The sequence below is a fragment of the Homo sapiens genome, chromosome 3 (assembly GCF_000001405.40).
Source record: "Homo sapiens chromosome 3, GRCh38.p14 Primary Assembly".
In the NCBI taxonomy this organism is placed as follows: Eukaryota; Metazoa; Chordata; class Mammalia; order Primates; family Hominidae; genus Homo; species Homo sapiens.
Window position 1 is genome coordinate 19847712 of NC_000003.12, and position 16680 is coordinate 19864391.

Sequence of the window (16680 nt, forward strand, 5' to 3'; positions counted from 1 at the left end):
GATACTAGAGTTTGGGAAGAGTAGGGAGAAGGGAGGGATAGGGAGAAGTTTTTCAGGGATACGATTACAGTGAGATAGGAGGAATAAGTTTCAGTGTTCTATTCCACTGAATTACTATAGGTAACAATACATTATTATGTAGTTTCAAATAGCTACAAGTAGAACATTGAACATTGCCAAAACAAAGAAATGATAAATGTTTGAGATGATAAATATGCTAATTACTCTGATCTGATTACTGTACATTATATGCATTGAAATATCACTATGTTTACCATGAATATGTACAATGGTTGTCAATGAAAAAAATTAAAATATTACATAAAGAAACAAAATATTCTTTAATATTATAAAATATAATATGAATGAATGTTCTGTAGTAAATATAATGTTATTTAACATTCTTTTAAAAATTGGAAGCAACAAAGATAGCCTTCAATAGGTGAAAATGTGGTACATCCAGACAATGGAATGTTATTCATCAATAAACAGAAATGAACAAAAAAGCTGGCTGGGCACAGTGGCTCATGCCTGTAATTCGAGCACACTGGGAGGCCGAGGTGGGTGAATCACCTGAAGTCAGGAGTTCAAGACCAGCATGGTCAACATAGTGAAACCCCGTCTCTACTAAAAATACAATAATCAGCTGGCTATGGTGGCAGGTGCTGTAATCTCAGCTACTCAGGAGGCTAAGGCAGGAGAATCACTTGAACCCAGGAGGTGGAGGCTGCAGTGAGCCAAGATTGCACTCCAACCTGGGTGACAGAGTGAGACTCTGTCTCAAAAAAAATTAAAAAATAATACAGGATATGGATGAAAAATCTCCAGAGAAATAGATATTATAAATAGAAAACAATCACAACTTCTGGAAATGAAAGACACACTTAGAGAAAGGCAAAATATACTGGAAAGTTTCAAGAATACAAGCCAACAAATAGAAGAAAGAATTTCAGAGCTCAAAGACATGGCTTTTAAATTAATCCAATCTGACAAAGCCAAAAAAAGAGGAATTTTTTTTAAAAATGAGCAAAGCCTCTAAGAAGTGTGGAATTATGTTAAACAACTAAATCTAAGAATAATTGGTGTTCCTGAGGAAGAAAAGAAATCTAAAAGTTTGGGAAATGTCTTTGAGGGAATAATTAAGGAAACCTTCCCTGGCCTTGTTACAGGTCTAGACATCCAAATACAAGAAGTTCAAAGAACACCTGGGTAATTCATCACAAAAAGATTATCACCTAGGCATAGTCATCAGGCTATCTAAGGTAAACATAAAAGAAAGAGCCTTAACAGCTGTGAGGCAAAAGCATCAGGTAACCTATAAAGGGGAACCTATCAGATTAACAGCAGATTTCTCGGCAGAAACCCTACAAGCTAGAACGGATTGGCGTTCTATCTTTAGCCACCTTAAACAAAATAATTATCAGCCAAGAATGTCATATCCAGCAAAACTAAGCTTCATAAATAAAGGAGGAATAAAGTCTTTTTCAGAAAAACGAATGCTGAGAGAATTCACCACTACCAAGTCACCACTACAAGAAATGATAAAAGAATTCCAAATCTTGAAAGAAAAGCTCAAAACACACCAAAATAAAACTTCCTTAAAGCATAAATCTCACAGGGCCTATAAAACATAACACAATGGAAAAAGAAAAACAAAATGTTCAAACAACAACTAGCATGATGAATAGAATAGTATCTCAAATCTCAATACTAACATTGAATGGAAATGGCTTAAATGAGCCACTTAAAAGATATAGAATGGCAAAATGGATAAGAATTCACCAACCAAGTATCTGCTTTCTTCCAGAGACTCACCTAACACATGACTCACATAAACGTAAGAGAAAGGGGAGGAAAAGATATTCCATGCAAATGGACACCAAGAGTGAGAAGGAGTAGCTAGTCAATGTCAGACAAAACAGACTTCAAAGCAATAACAGTTAAATGTTAATGTCAATGTCAGACAAAACAGACTTCAAAGCAATAACAGTTAAAAAACAAAAAAAAATTAAAAAATTAAAAAGCAGCAACAGTTAAAAAAGACAAATATAATGATAAAAGGACTAGTTCAACAGGAAAATATCATAATCTTTCACCTAACACTAGAGCGTCCAAATTAATAAAACATATATGCATCTAACACTGAAGCTCCCAAATTTGTAAAGCAATTACTACTAGACCTAAGAAATAAGATAGACAGCAACACAATAATAGTGGAGGGACTTCAATGCTCCACTGACAGCACTAGACAGTTCATAAAGACAGAAAGTGAACAAAGAACAAATGGACTTAAACTATACCCTAGAAAAAATGGACTTAACAGATATTTACAGAACATTTTACCCAACAACTGCAGAATGTATCTTCTATTCATCAGCACATGGAATATTCTCCAAGATACATGATATCATAGGCCACAGAACAAACCTTAATAAATTTAAGAAAATCAAAATTATATCAAGTACTCCCTCAGACCACAGTGGAATAAAATTGGAAATCAACTTCAAAAGGAACCCTCAAAATCAGGAAAATACATGGAAATTAAATGATCTGTTCATGAATGATGTTTGGGTCAGCAATGAAATCAAGATGAAAATTTAAAAATTCTTTGAACTGAACGATGATAGTGACACAATCTATCAAAACCTCTGCAATACAGCAAAAGCAGCGCTAAGAGGAAAGTTCATAGCATTAAATGCCTACATCAAAAAGTCTGAAAGAGCACAAATAGACAAGCTAAGGTCACACCTCAGGGAACTAGAGAAACAAGGACAAACCAAACCCAAACACAGCAGAAGAAAATAAACATCAAAGCAGAAATAAATAAAATTGAAACAAAACAAACAATACAAGAGATAAAAGAAATGAAAAGCTACTTCCTTGAAAAGATAAATAAAACTGATAGATCATTAGCAACATTAACCAAGAAAAGAAGAGAGAAGAGCCAAATAAACTTTATTAGAAATGAAACTGGAGGTACTACAACTGATACCACAGAAACACAAAAGATCATTCAAAGCTACTATGAATACCTTTATGCACACAAACTAGAAAACCTAGAGGTGATGGATAAATTCCTGGAAATGTACAAACCTCCTAAATTAAGCCAGGAAGAAATAGAAACTCTCAACAGACCAATAACAAGCAATGAGATTGAAAAAAAAAAAAAAAAACTGCCAACAAAAGAAAGTCCAGGGCCAGATGGATTCACAGCTGAATTCAATCAGACAATCAAGGAAGAGGTGGTACTACTGAAACTATTCCAAAAAATAGAGGGAGAATCCTCCCTAAATCATTATATAAACCCATATTATCCTAATACCAAGACCAGGAAGGGATGTAACAACAACAACAAAAAAACAAAACAAACAAAAAAAAACTACAGACCAATATCCTTGATGAACTTAAATGCAAAAAATCCTTAACAAAATACTAGCTAAACAAATCCAACAGCATTTCAAAAAGATAATTCACCATGATCAAGTGTGTTTTATACCAGGGATGCAAGGATGGTTTAACATACTCAAGTCAATAAATGTGACACATCACATAAACAGAATTAAAAATAAAAATTATATGATCATCCCAACAGATGCAGAAAAAGCAGTTGACAAAATCCAGCATCGCTTTATGATTAAAACCCTCAGCAAAATCAGCAGAGAAGGGGCATACCCTAATGTAATAAAAGCCATCTATGGCAAATCCACAGCCAACATTATGCTCAATGGGAAAAGTTGAAAGCATTCTCCCTGAGAAATGGAATAAAAGAAGAATGCCAACTTTCACCACTTCTATTCAACATAGTAATGGAAGTCCTAGCCAGAACAATCAGACAAGAGAAAAAAATAAAGGGCATCCACACCAGTAAAGAGGAAGTCAAACTGCTGCTGTTTGCCAATGATATGATTGTATACCTAGAAAACTCTAAAGACTCATCCAAAAAGCTCCTAGATCTGATTAATAAATTCAGTAAAGTTTCAGAATACAAAATTGATGTAATCAGTAGCACTGCTATACATCAACAGCAACCAAGCTGAGAATCAAATCAGGAACTTATCCCCTTTAACAGTAGCTGCAAAAAAAATAAAATACTTAGGAATATACCTAACCTAGGAGGTGAAAGACCTCTGCAAGGAAAACTACAAACACTGCTGAAAGAAATCGTAGATGGGTTTTTTAAACAAATGGAAACACATCCCATATTCATGGATGGTTAGAATTAATATTGTGAAAATGACCATACTACCAAAAGTAATCTACAAAATATCATTATCATTCTCCACAGATCTAGAAAAAGTAATCCTAAAATTCATATGGAAACAAAAACGAGCCTGCATAGCCAAAGCAAGACTAAGCAAAAAGAACAAATCTGGAGGCATCACATTACCTGACATCAAACTATACTGCAAGGCTATAGTCACCAAAAGAGCATGGTGCTGGTATAAAAATAGATAGGCACACAGACAAATGGAACAGAATAGAGAACCCAGAAATAAAGCCAAATATTATAGCCAACTAATCATCAACAAAGCAAGCAGAAATATGAAGTGGGGAAAGGACACCCTATTCAACAAATGTGCTGGGATATTTGGCAAGCCACATGTAGAAGAAGGAAACTGATACTCATCTCTCATCTTACACAAAAATTAACACGAGATGGATCAAAGACTTAAATCTATGACCTGAAACCATAAAAATTCTACAAGATAACATTGGAAAAACTCTTCTAGACATTGGCTTAGGCAAAGGCTTCAGGACCAAGAACCCAAAAGCAAATGCAACAAAAAAAGATAAATAGATGAGACTTAATTAAACTAAAAAGCTTCTGCACAGCAAAAGAAATAAGCAGCAGAGTAAACAGACTACCCACAGAGTGGGAGAAAATATTCACAAACAATGTGTCTGACAAAAGACTAACATCCAGAATCTACAAAAAATTCAAACAAATTAGAAAGGAAAAAACAACCCTACAAAAAGTGGGCAAAAGACATGAATAGACAATTCTCAAAAGAAGACATACAAATGGCCAACAAACATGAAAAAATGTTCAACATCACTATCAGGGAAATGCAAATTAAAACCACCATGAGATATGACCTTACTCCTTCAAGAATGGCCATAATTAAAAAATCAAAAAATAATAGATGTTGACATGAATGTGGTGGAAAGGGAACACTTTTACACTGTGGGTGGGAATATAAACTAGTACAACCACTACGGAAAACGGTGTAGAGATTCCTTAAAGAACTAAAAGGAGAACTACCATTTGATTCAGCAATCCCACTACTGGGTATCCAACCAAAGATAGAAAGAATCAATATCATGAAAATGGCCATACTGCCCAAGGTAACTTATAGATTCAATGCCATCCCCATCAAGCTACCAATGACTTTCTTCACAGAATTGGAAAAAACTACTTTAAATTCCATATGGAATGAGAAATGGGCCCGCCTTGCGAAGACAATCCTAAGGTAAAAGAACAAAGCTGGAGGCATCACGCTACCTGACTTCAAACTATACTACAAGGCTATAGTAACCAAAATAGCATGGTAGTGGTACCAACACAGAGATATAGATCAATGGAACAGAACAGAGCCCTCAGAAATAATACCACACATCTACAACCATCTGATCTTTGACAAACCTGAGAAAAACAAGCAATGGGGAAAGGATTCCCTATTTAATAAATGGTGCTGGGAAAACTGGCTAGCCATATGGAGAAAGCTGAAATTGGATCCCTTCCTTACATCTTATACAAAAATTAATTCAAGATGGATTAAAGACTTAAATGTTAGACCTAAAACCACAAAAACCCTAGAAGAAAACCTAGGCAATACCATTCAGGACATAGGCATGTGCAAGGACTTCATGTCTAAAACACCAAAAGCAATGGCAGCAAAAGCCAAAATTGACAAATGGGATCTGTTTAAACTAAAGAGCTTCTGCACAGCAAAAGAAACTACCATCAGAGTGAAAAGGCAACCTACAGAATGGGAGGAAATTTTTGCAATCTACTCATCTGGCAAAGGGCTAAAACCCAGAATCTACAATGAACTCAAACAAATTTACAAGAAAAAAACAAACAACCCCATCAAAAAGTGGGTGAAGAATATGAACAGAAACTTCTCAAAAGAAGATACTTATGCAGCCAACAGACATATGAAAAAATGCTCATCATCACTGGCCATCTGAGAAATGCAAATCAAAACCACAATGACATACCATCTCACACCAGTTAGAATGGCGATCATTAAAAAGTCAGGAAACAACAGGTGCTGGAGGGGATGTGGAGAAAAAGGAACACTTTTACACTGTTGGTGGGACTGTAAACTAGTTCAACCATTGTGGAAGACAGTGTGGTGATTCCTCAAGGATCTAGAACTAGAAATACCATTTGACCCAGCCATCCCATTACTGGGTATATACCCAAAGGATTATAAATCATGCTGCTATAAAGACACACGCACATGTATGTTTACTGCAGCACTATTCACAATAGTAAACACTTGGAACCAACTCAAATGTCCACCAATGATAGACTGGATTAAGAAAATGTGGCACATATACACCATGGAATACTATGCAGCCATAAAAAAGGATGAGTTCATGTCCTTTGGAGGGACATGGATGAAGCTGGAAACCATCATTCTCAGCAAACTATTGCAAGGACAAAAAACCAAACACCACATGTTCTCACTCATAGGTGGGAATTGAACAATGAGAACACTTGGACACAGGAAGGGGAACATTACACACCGGGGCCTGTCATGGGGTTTGGGAAGGGGGGGAGGGATAGCATTAGGAGATATACCTAATGTAAATGACGAGTTAATGGGTGCAGCACACCAACATGACGCATGTATACATATGTAACAAACCTGCACATTGTGCACATGTACCCTAGAACTTAAAGTATAATAATAAAAAAGGTTATATTTATAAATAGTGAAAATAAGAAAAAAAAGAAAAAGAATCATTATATGAAAAAAGACACTTGCACATGCATATGTATAGCAGCACAATTCACAATAGCAAAAATATGAAACCAACCTAAATGCCCAGCAACCAACAAGTGAATGAAGAAAATGTGATATACATACAACATGGAATACTACTCAGCCATAAAAAGAAACAAACTAATGGCATTTGCAGCAACCTGGATTAAGTTGGAGACCCTTATTATAAGTGAAGTAACTCAGAAATGGAAAAGCAAACATCGTATGTTCTCACATATAAGTGGGAGCTAAGCTGTGAGGATGCAAAGGCTTAAGAATTATATAATGGAGTTGGGGGACTTGGATGGAAGAGTGGGAGTGGTGGATAAAAGACTACACATCGGGGGAGGAGCCAAGATGGTTGAATAGGAACAGCTCCGGTCTACAGCTCCAGGCATGAGCGACGCAGAAGACGGGTGATTTCTGCATTTCCATCTGAGGTACCAGGTTCATCTCACTAGGGAGTGCCACACAGTGGGCGCAGGCCAGTGGGTGCGCGCACCGTGCGCGAGCCGAAGCAGGGCGAGGCATTGCCTCACCTGGGAAGCGCAAGGGGTCAGGGAGTTCCCTTTCCAAGTCAAAGAAAGGGGTGACGGACGCACCTGGAAAATCGGGTCACTCCCACCCGAATATTGCACTTTTCAGACGGGCTTAAAAAACGGCGCACCACGAGACTATATCCCACACCTGGCTCGGAGGGTCCTACGCCCACGGAATCTCCCTGATTGCTAGCACAGCAGTCTGAGATCAAACTGCAAGTCGGCAGCTAGGCTGGGGGAGGGGCGCCCGCCATTGCCCAGGCTTGATTAGGTAAACAAAGCAGCCTGGAAGCTCCAACTGGGTGGAGCCCACCACAGTTCAAGGAGGCCTGCCTGCCATTGTAGGCTCCACCTCTGGGGGCAGGGCACAGACAAACAAAAAGACAGCAGTAACCTCTGCAGACTTAAATGTCGCTGTCTGACAGCTTTGAAGAGAGCAGTGGTTCTCCCAGCACACAGCTGGAGATCTGAGAACGGGCAGACTGCCTCCTCAAGTGGGTCCCTCACCCCTGACCCCCCAGCAGCCTAACTGGGAGGCACCCCCCAGCAGGGGCACACTGACACCTCACACAGCCTGGTACTCCAACAGACCTGCAGCTGAGGGTCCTGTCTGTTAGAAGGAAAACTAACAAACAGAAAGGACATCCACACCAAAAACCCATCTGTACATCACCATCATCAAAGACCAAAAGTAGATAAAACCACAAAGATGGGGAAAAAACAGAACAGAAAAACTGGAAACTCTAAAACGCAGAGTGCCTCTCCTCCTCCAAAGGAACGCAGTTCCTCACCAGCAACGGAACAAAGCTGGATGGAGAATGACTTTGACGAGCTGAGAGAAGAAGGCTTCAGATGATCAAATTACTCTGAGCTACGGGAGGACATTCAAACCAAAGGCAAAGAAGTTGAAAACTTTGAAAAAAATTTAGAAGAATGTATAACTAGAATAACCAATACAGAGAAGTGCTTAAAGGAGCTGATGGAGCTGAAAACCAAGGCTCGAGAACTACGTGAAGAATGCAGAAGCCTCAGGAGCCAATGCAATCAACTGGAAGAAAGGGTATCAGCAATGGAAGATGAAATGAATGAAATGAAGCGAGAAGGGAAGTTTAGAGAAAAAAGAATAAAAACAAATGAGCAAAGCCTCCAAGAAATATGGGACTATGTGAAAAGACCAAATCTACGTCTGATTGGTGTACCTGAAAGTGATGGGGAGAATGGAACCAAGTTGGAAAACACTCTGCAGGATATTATCCAGGAGAACTTCCCCAATCTAGCAAGGCAGGCCAACGTTCAGATACAGGAAATACAGAGAACGCCACAAAGATACTCCTCGAGAAGAGCAACTCCAACACACATAATTGTCAGACTCACCAAAGTTGAAATGAAGGAAAAAATGTTAAGGGCAGCCAGAGAGAAAGGTCGGGTTACCCTCAAAGGGAAGCCCATCAGACTAACAGCGGATCTCTCGGCAGAAACCCTACAAGCCAGAAGAGAGTGGGGGCCAATATTCATCATTCTTAAAGAAAAGAATTTTCAACCCAGAATTTCATATCCAGCCAAACTAAGCTTCATAAGTGAAGGAGAAATAAAATACTTTACAGACAAGCTAATGCTGAGAGATTTTGTCACCACCAGGCCTGCCCTAAAAGAGCTCCTGAAGGAAGCGCTAAACATGGAAAGGAACAACCGGTACCAGCTGCTGCAAAATCATGCCAAAATGTAAAGACCATCGAGACTAGGAAGAAACTGCGTCAACTGACGAGCAAAATCACCAGCTAACATCATAATGACAGGATCAAATTCACACATAACAATATTAACTTTAAATGTAAATGGACTAAATTCTCCTATTAAAAGACACAGACTGGCAAATTGGATAAAGAGTCAAGACCCATCAGTGTGCTGTATTCAGGGAACCCATCTCACGTGCAGAGACACACATAGGCTCAAAATAAAAGGATGGAGGAAGATCTACCAAGCAAATGGAAAACAAAAAAAGGCAGGGGTTGCAATCCTAGTCTCTGATAAAACAGACTTTAAACCAACAAAGATCAAAAGAGACAAAGAAGGCCATTACATAATGGTAAAGGGATCAATTCAACAAGAAGAGCTAACTATCCTAAATATATATGCACCCAATACAGGAGCACCCAGATTCATAAAGCAAGTCCTGAGTGACCTACAAAGAGACTTAGACTCCCACATATTAATAATGGGAGACTTTAACACCCCACTGTCAACATTAGACAGATCAACAAGACAGAAAGTCAACAAGGATACCCAGGAATTGAACTCAGCTCTGGACCAAGTGGACCTAATAGACATCTACAGAACTCTCCACCCCAAATCAACAGAATATACATTTTTTTGAGCACCACACCACACCTATTCCAAAATTGACCACATACTTGGAAGTAAAGCTCTCCTCAGCAAATGTAAAAGAACAGAAATTATAACAAACTATCTCTCAGACCACAGTGCAATCAAACTAGAAGTCAGGATTAAGAATCTCACTCAAAGCCGCTCAACTACATGGAAACTGAACAACCTGCTCCTGAATGACTACTGGGTACATAACGAAATGAAGGCAGAAATAAAGATGTTCTTTGAAACCAACGAGAACAAAGACATGACATACCAGAATCTCTGGGACACATTCAAAGCAGTGTGTAGAGGGAAATTTATAGCACTAAATGCCCACAAGAGAAAGCAGGAAAGATCCAAAATTGACACCCTAACATCACAATTAAAAGAACTAGAAAAGCAAGAGCAAACACATTCAAAAGCTAGCAGAAGGCAAGAAATAACTAAAATCAGAGCAGAACTGAAGGAAATAGAGACACAAAAAACCCTTCAAAAAATCAAGGAATCCAGGAGCTGGTTTTTTGAAAGGATCAACAAAATTGATAGACCGCTAGCAAGACTAATAAAGAAAAAAAGAGAGAAGAATCAAATAGACACAATAAAAAATGATAAAGGGGATATCACCACCGATCCCACAGAAATACAAACTACCATCAGAGAATACTACAAACACCTCTACGCAAATAAACTGGAAAATCTAGAAGAAATGGATAAATTCCTTGACACATACACTCTCCCAAGACTAAACCAGGAAGAAGTTGCATCTCTGAATAGACCAATAACAGGAGCTGAAATTGTGGCAATAATCAATAGTTTACCAACCAAAAAGAGTCCAGGACCAGATGGATTCACAGCCGAATTCTACCAGAGGTACAAGGAGGAACTGGTACCATTCCTTCTGAAACTATTCCAATCAATAGAAAAAGAAGGAATCCTCCCTAACTCATTTGATGAGGCCAGCATCATCCTGATACCAAAGCCAGGCAGAGACACAACCAAAAAAGAGAATTTTAGACCAATATCCTTGATGAACATTGATGCAAAAATCCTCAATAAAATACTGGCAAACCGAATCCAGCAGCACATCAAAAAGCTTATCCACCACGATCAAGTGGGCTTCATCCCTGGGATGCAAGGCTGGTTCAATATACGCAAATCAATAAATGTAATCCAGCATATAAACAGAACCAAAGACAAAAACTACATGATTATCTCAATAGATGCAGAAAAGGCCTTTGACAAAATTCAACAACTCTTAATGCTAAAAACTCTCAATAACTTAGGTATTGATGGGACATATCTCAAAATACTAAGAGCTATCTCTGACAAACCCACAGCCAATATCATACTGAATGGGCAAAAACTGGAAGCATTCCCTTTGAAAACTGGAACAAGACAGGGATGTCCTCTCTCACCACTCCTATTCAACATAGTGTTGGAAGTTCTGGCCAGGGCAATTAGGCAGGAGAAGGAAATAAAGGGTATTCAATTAGGAAAAGAGGAAGTCAAATTGTCCCTGTTTGCAGATGACATGATTGTATATCTAGAAAACCCCATTGTCTCAGCCCAAAATCTCCTTAAGCTGATAAGCAACTTCAGCAAAGTCTCAGGATACAAAATCAATGTACAAAAATCACAAGCATTCTTATACACCAATAACACACAAACAGAGAGCCAAATCATGAGTGAACTCCCATTCACAATTGCTTCAAAGAGAAGAAAATACCTAGGAATCCACCTTACAAGAGACGTGAAGGACCTCTTCAAGGAGAACTACAAACCACTGCTCAATAAAATAAAAGAGGGTACAAACAAATGGAAGAACATTCCATGCTCATGGGTAGGAAGAATCAATATCGTGAAAATGGCCATACTGCCCAAGGTAATTTATAGATTCAATGCCATCCCCATCAAGCTACCAATGACTTTCTTCACAGAATTGGAAAAAACTACTTTAAAGTTCATCTGGAACCAAAAAAGAGCCCGCATCACCAAGTCAATCTTAAGCCAAAAGAACAAAGCTGGAGGCATCACGCTACCTGACTTCAAACTATACTACAAGGCTACAGTAACCAAAACAGCATGGTACTGGCACCAAAACAGATAGTGATCAATGGAACAGAACAGAGCCCTCAGAAATAACGCCACATACTACAACTATCTGATCTTTGACAAACCTGAGAAAAACAAGAAATGGGGAAAGGATTCCCTGTTTAATAAATGGTGCTGGGAAAACTGGCTAGCCATATGGAGAAAGCTGAAACTGGATCCCTTCCTTACATCTTATACAAAAATTAATTCAAGATGGATTAAAGACTTAAACATTAGACCTAAAACCATAAAAACCCTAGAAGAAAACCTAGGCATTACCATTCAGGACATAGGCATGGGCAAGGACTTCACAACTAAAACACCAAAAGCAATGGCAACAAAAGCCAAAATTGACAAATGGGATCTAATTAAACTAAAGAGCTTCTGCACAGCAAAAGAAACTACCATCAGAGTGAACAGGCAACCCACAAAATGGGAGAAAATTTTCACAACCTACTCATCTGACAAAGGGCTAATATCCAGAATCTACAATGAACTCAAACAAATTTACAAGAAAAAAACAAACAACCCCATCAAAAAGTGGGCGAAGGACATGAACAGACACTTCTCAAAAGAAGACATTTATGCAGCCAAAAAACACATGAAAAAATGCTCATCATCACTGGCCGTCAGAGAAATGCAAATCAAAACCACTATGAGATACCATCTCACACCAGTTAGAATGGCAATCATTAAAAAGTCAGGAAACAACAGGTGCTGGAGAGGATGCGGAGAAACAGGAACACTTTTACACTGTTGGTGGGACTGTAAACTAGTTCAACCATTGTGGAAGTCAGTGTGGCGATTCCTCAGGGATCTAGAACTAGAAATACCATTTGACCCAGCCATCCCATTACTGGGTATATACCCAAAGGACTATAAATCATGCTGCTATAAAGACACATGCACACGTATGTTTATTGCGGCATTATTCACAATAGCAAAGACTTGGAACCAACCCAAATGTCCAACAATGATAGACTGGATGAAGAAAATGTGGTACATATATACCATGGAATACTATGCAGCCATAAAAAATGATGAGTTCATGTCCTTTGTAGGGACATGGATGAAATTGGAAACCATCATTCTCAGTAAACTATCGCAAGAACAAAAAACCAAACACCGCATATTCTCACTCATAGGTGGGAATTGAACAATGAGAACACATGGACACAGGAAGGGGAACATCACACTCTGGGGACTGTTGTGGGTTGCGGGGAGTGGGAAGGGTTAGCATTGGGAGATATACCTAATGCTAGATGACGAGTTAGTGGGTGCAGCGCACCAGCATGGCACATGTATACATATGTAACTAACCTGCACGATGTGCACATGTACCCTGAAACTTAAAGTATAATAAAAAAAAAAAAAAAGACTACACATCGGGTGACAGATACACTGCTTTGGTGATGGGTACACCAAAATCTCAAAAATCACCACTAGAGAATTTATCCATGTAACCAAAAACCACCTGTTTCCCAAAAACTATTGAAATAAAAAAAATTTTTAACCTAAATTTAAAATATACAATTCAGAGATAACCCATTTGCTTTTGAGTTCTTGGTCATGAAGTCTTTTCCTAAAGTGACAAGATTTCTGAAGAGGCGAGAGTGGATTGATTTAGAACACAGCTTCCCTATCTCCTTCCCCACATAGGAAAGGAGAAACTTCCTCTGTGACATAAAGGAGGGAGCAAGGGTTGCCCTAGAGCAGATAAATTTGTAGGGCGGATCCCAGGATTTGAAGATGTTTCCATTTGATGATTTCCATTTTCATCATCATGTAGGATACAAGATCCTCCAGAGAGTGGATTAGGGGGATTGGTTGGGAAAGGAATTTTAAGTACATGGTAAAGGTGTTGTTGCTTCTGAGGTAATGGGAGACAAATGAACTAGGACAAATAGGGTAGATAGTAGTATTATGTTGTGTCATCTCCAGCCTTAACTTTATGTACTTTTCCCCCGCTGAATTTTTTTCCTCTGACTCCTCCCAACCACTCGTTCTCAGGATTGACTGCCTTCTCCATTAGATTTTTCTCCCCTAACCCCAATTACTGTCCTGAATCTGATAAAGTGGTGCACCCATTGAGTTAACAAATCAATCGATCACTCTATAAAGGTCATCCATTTTTTATTTAAATAAAATTTTAAAAACAAAAAAAGAAGGAAATGTAAATAAAGTATAGAGTTTAGTTAATAATAATATTTCAATATTGGTTTATTAATTGTAACCAATGTACTTTACTAAAGTAAGAAGTTAGTAATTGGGGAAACTGGGTGTAGGGCACTATTTTCTGTAAACCTAAAGCTGTTCTAAAGTTAAAAGTTTATTTTTTAAAACAAAGTGAATATTACCGAGAGAGAGAGTAGGAGAGAACACATGTGCACACACCTGGAGTGTAAATAGAAAAACATCTATATGAACTATGAGTATTGTATTAGTCCATTTTCATGCTGCTGATAGACGTACCCGAGACTGGGAAGAAAAAGAGGTTTAATTGGACTTATAGTTCCACATCGCTGGGGAGTCCTCAGAATCATGGCAGGAGACAAAAGGCACTTCTAACACTGCAGTAGCAAGAGAAAAATGAGAAAGAAGCAAAAGCAGAAACCCCTGATAAACCCATCAGATCTCGTGGGACGTATTCACTGTCATGAGAATAACACGGAAAAGACTGGCCCGCATGATTAAATGACCTCCCCCTAGGTCCCTCGCACAACACGTGGGAATTTTGGGAGATACAATTCAAGCTGAAATTTGGGTGGGGACACAGCCAAGCCATATCATTCTGCCCCAGGCCCCCCCAAATCTCATGTCCTCACAATTCAAAACCAATCATGCCTTCCCAACAGTCCCCCAAAGTCTTAACTCATTTCAGCATTAACTCAAAAGTCCACAGTCCAAAGTCTCATCTGAGACAAGGCAAGTTCCTTCCACCTGTGAGTCTGTAAAATCAAAAGCAAGCTAGTTACTTCCTCCTAGATACAATGGGGGTACTGGTATTGGATAAATACAACTGTTCCAAATGGGAGAAATTGGGCAAAACAAAGGAGTTACAGGGCCCATGCAAGTCTGAAATCCAGCAGGGTAGTCAAATTTTAGAGCTCCAAAATGATCTCCTTTGACTCCATGTCTCACATCCAGGTCATGCTAATTCAAGAGGTGGGTTCTCATGGTTTTGGGCAGCTCTGCCCCTGTGGCTTTGCAGGGTACAGCCCCTCCCTCCCGGCTGCTTTCACAGGCTGGCATTGAGTGTCTGCGGCTTTTCCAGGTGCACAGTGCAAGCCGTCAGTAGATCTACCATTCTGGGGTCTGGAGAATGGTGACCCTCTTCTCACAGCTCCACTAGGCAGTGCCCAGTAGGGACTCTGTGTGGGGACTCCAACCCCACAATTCCCTTCTGCACTGCCCTAGCAGAGGTTCTCCATGAGGGCCCCGCCCCTGCAGCAAACTTTTGCCTGGGCATCCATGCGTTTCCATGAATATTCTGAAATCTAGGTGGAGGTTCCCAAACCTCAATTCTTGACTTCTGTGCACCCGCAGGCTCAACACCACATGGAAGCTGCCACAGCTTGGGGCTTCCACCCTCTGAAGCCACAGCCTAGGCTGTATGTTGGCCCCTCCCGGTCATGGCTGGAGCAGCTGGGACACAGGGCACCAAGTCCCTAGGCTGCACACAGCACAGGGACCTTGGGCCCAGCTCACAAAACCACTTTTCTTCCAGGCAGCCAGGCCCGTGATGGGAGGGGCTGTCGTGAAGGTCTCTGACATGCCTGGAAACATTTTCTCTATGGTCTTGGGGATTAACATTAGGCTCCTTGAAATAGAAACGCTTTTACACTGTTGGTGGGACTGTAAACTAGTTCAACCATTGTGGAAGACAGTGTGGCAATTCCTCAGGGATCTAGAACTAGAAATACCATTTGACTCAGGCATCCATTACTGGGCATATACCCAAAGGATTATAAATCATGCTGCTATAAAGACACATGCACACGTATGTTTATTGCAGCACTATTCACAATAGCAAACACTTGGAACCAACCCAAATGTCCATCAATGATAGACTGGATTAAGAAAATGTGGCACATACACACCATGGACTACTATTCAGCCATAAAAACGGATGAATTCATGTCCTTTGTAGGGACATGGATGAAGCTGGAAACCATCATTCTCAGCAAACTAGCGCAAGGACAAAAAACCAAACACCACATGTTCTCACTCATAGGTGGGAATTGAACAATGAGAACACATGGACACCGGAAGGGGAACATCACACACCGGGGCCTGTTGTGCGGTGGGGGAAGGGGGGAAGGATAGCATTAGGAGATATACCTAATGTTAAATGACGAGTTAATGGGTGCAGCACACCAACATGGCACATGTATACGTATGTAACTAACCTGCACGTTGTGCACATGTACCCTAGAACGTAAAGTATAATAATAATAATAATAATAATAAATTAGGATCCCTGCTACTTATGCAAATTTCTGCAGCCAGCTTGAATTTCTCCCCAGAAAATGGGATTTTCTTTTCTATCACATAGGCAGGCTGCAAATTTTCTGGGTTTTTATGCACTTATTTCCTTATTAAAACTAATGCCTTTAACACACCCAAGTCACCTCTTGAATGCTTTGCTGCTTAGAAATTTCTTCCACCAGATATCCTAAATCATCTTT

General features: G+C 39.5%; 1 annotated feature.

Moving 5' to 3' along the window:
* Window positions 7558-8145: an enhancer, noted in NCBI's record as "NANOG-H3K27ac-H3K4me1 hESC enhancer chr3:19896761-19897348 (GRCh37/hg19 assembly coordinates)". NCBI's record gives its function as "activates a minimal SCP1, AML or CMV promoter by ChIP-STARR-seq in naive H9 embryonic stem cells {active_cell/tissue: H9 hESC(naive)}" and the evidence as "EXISTENCE:reporter gene assay evidence [ECO:0000049][PMID:30033119]".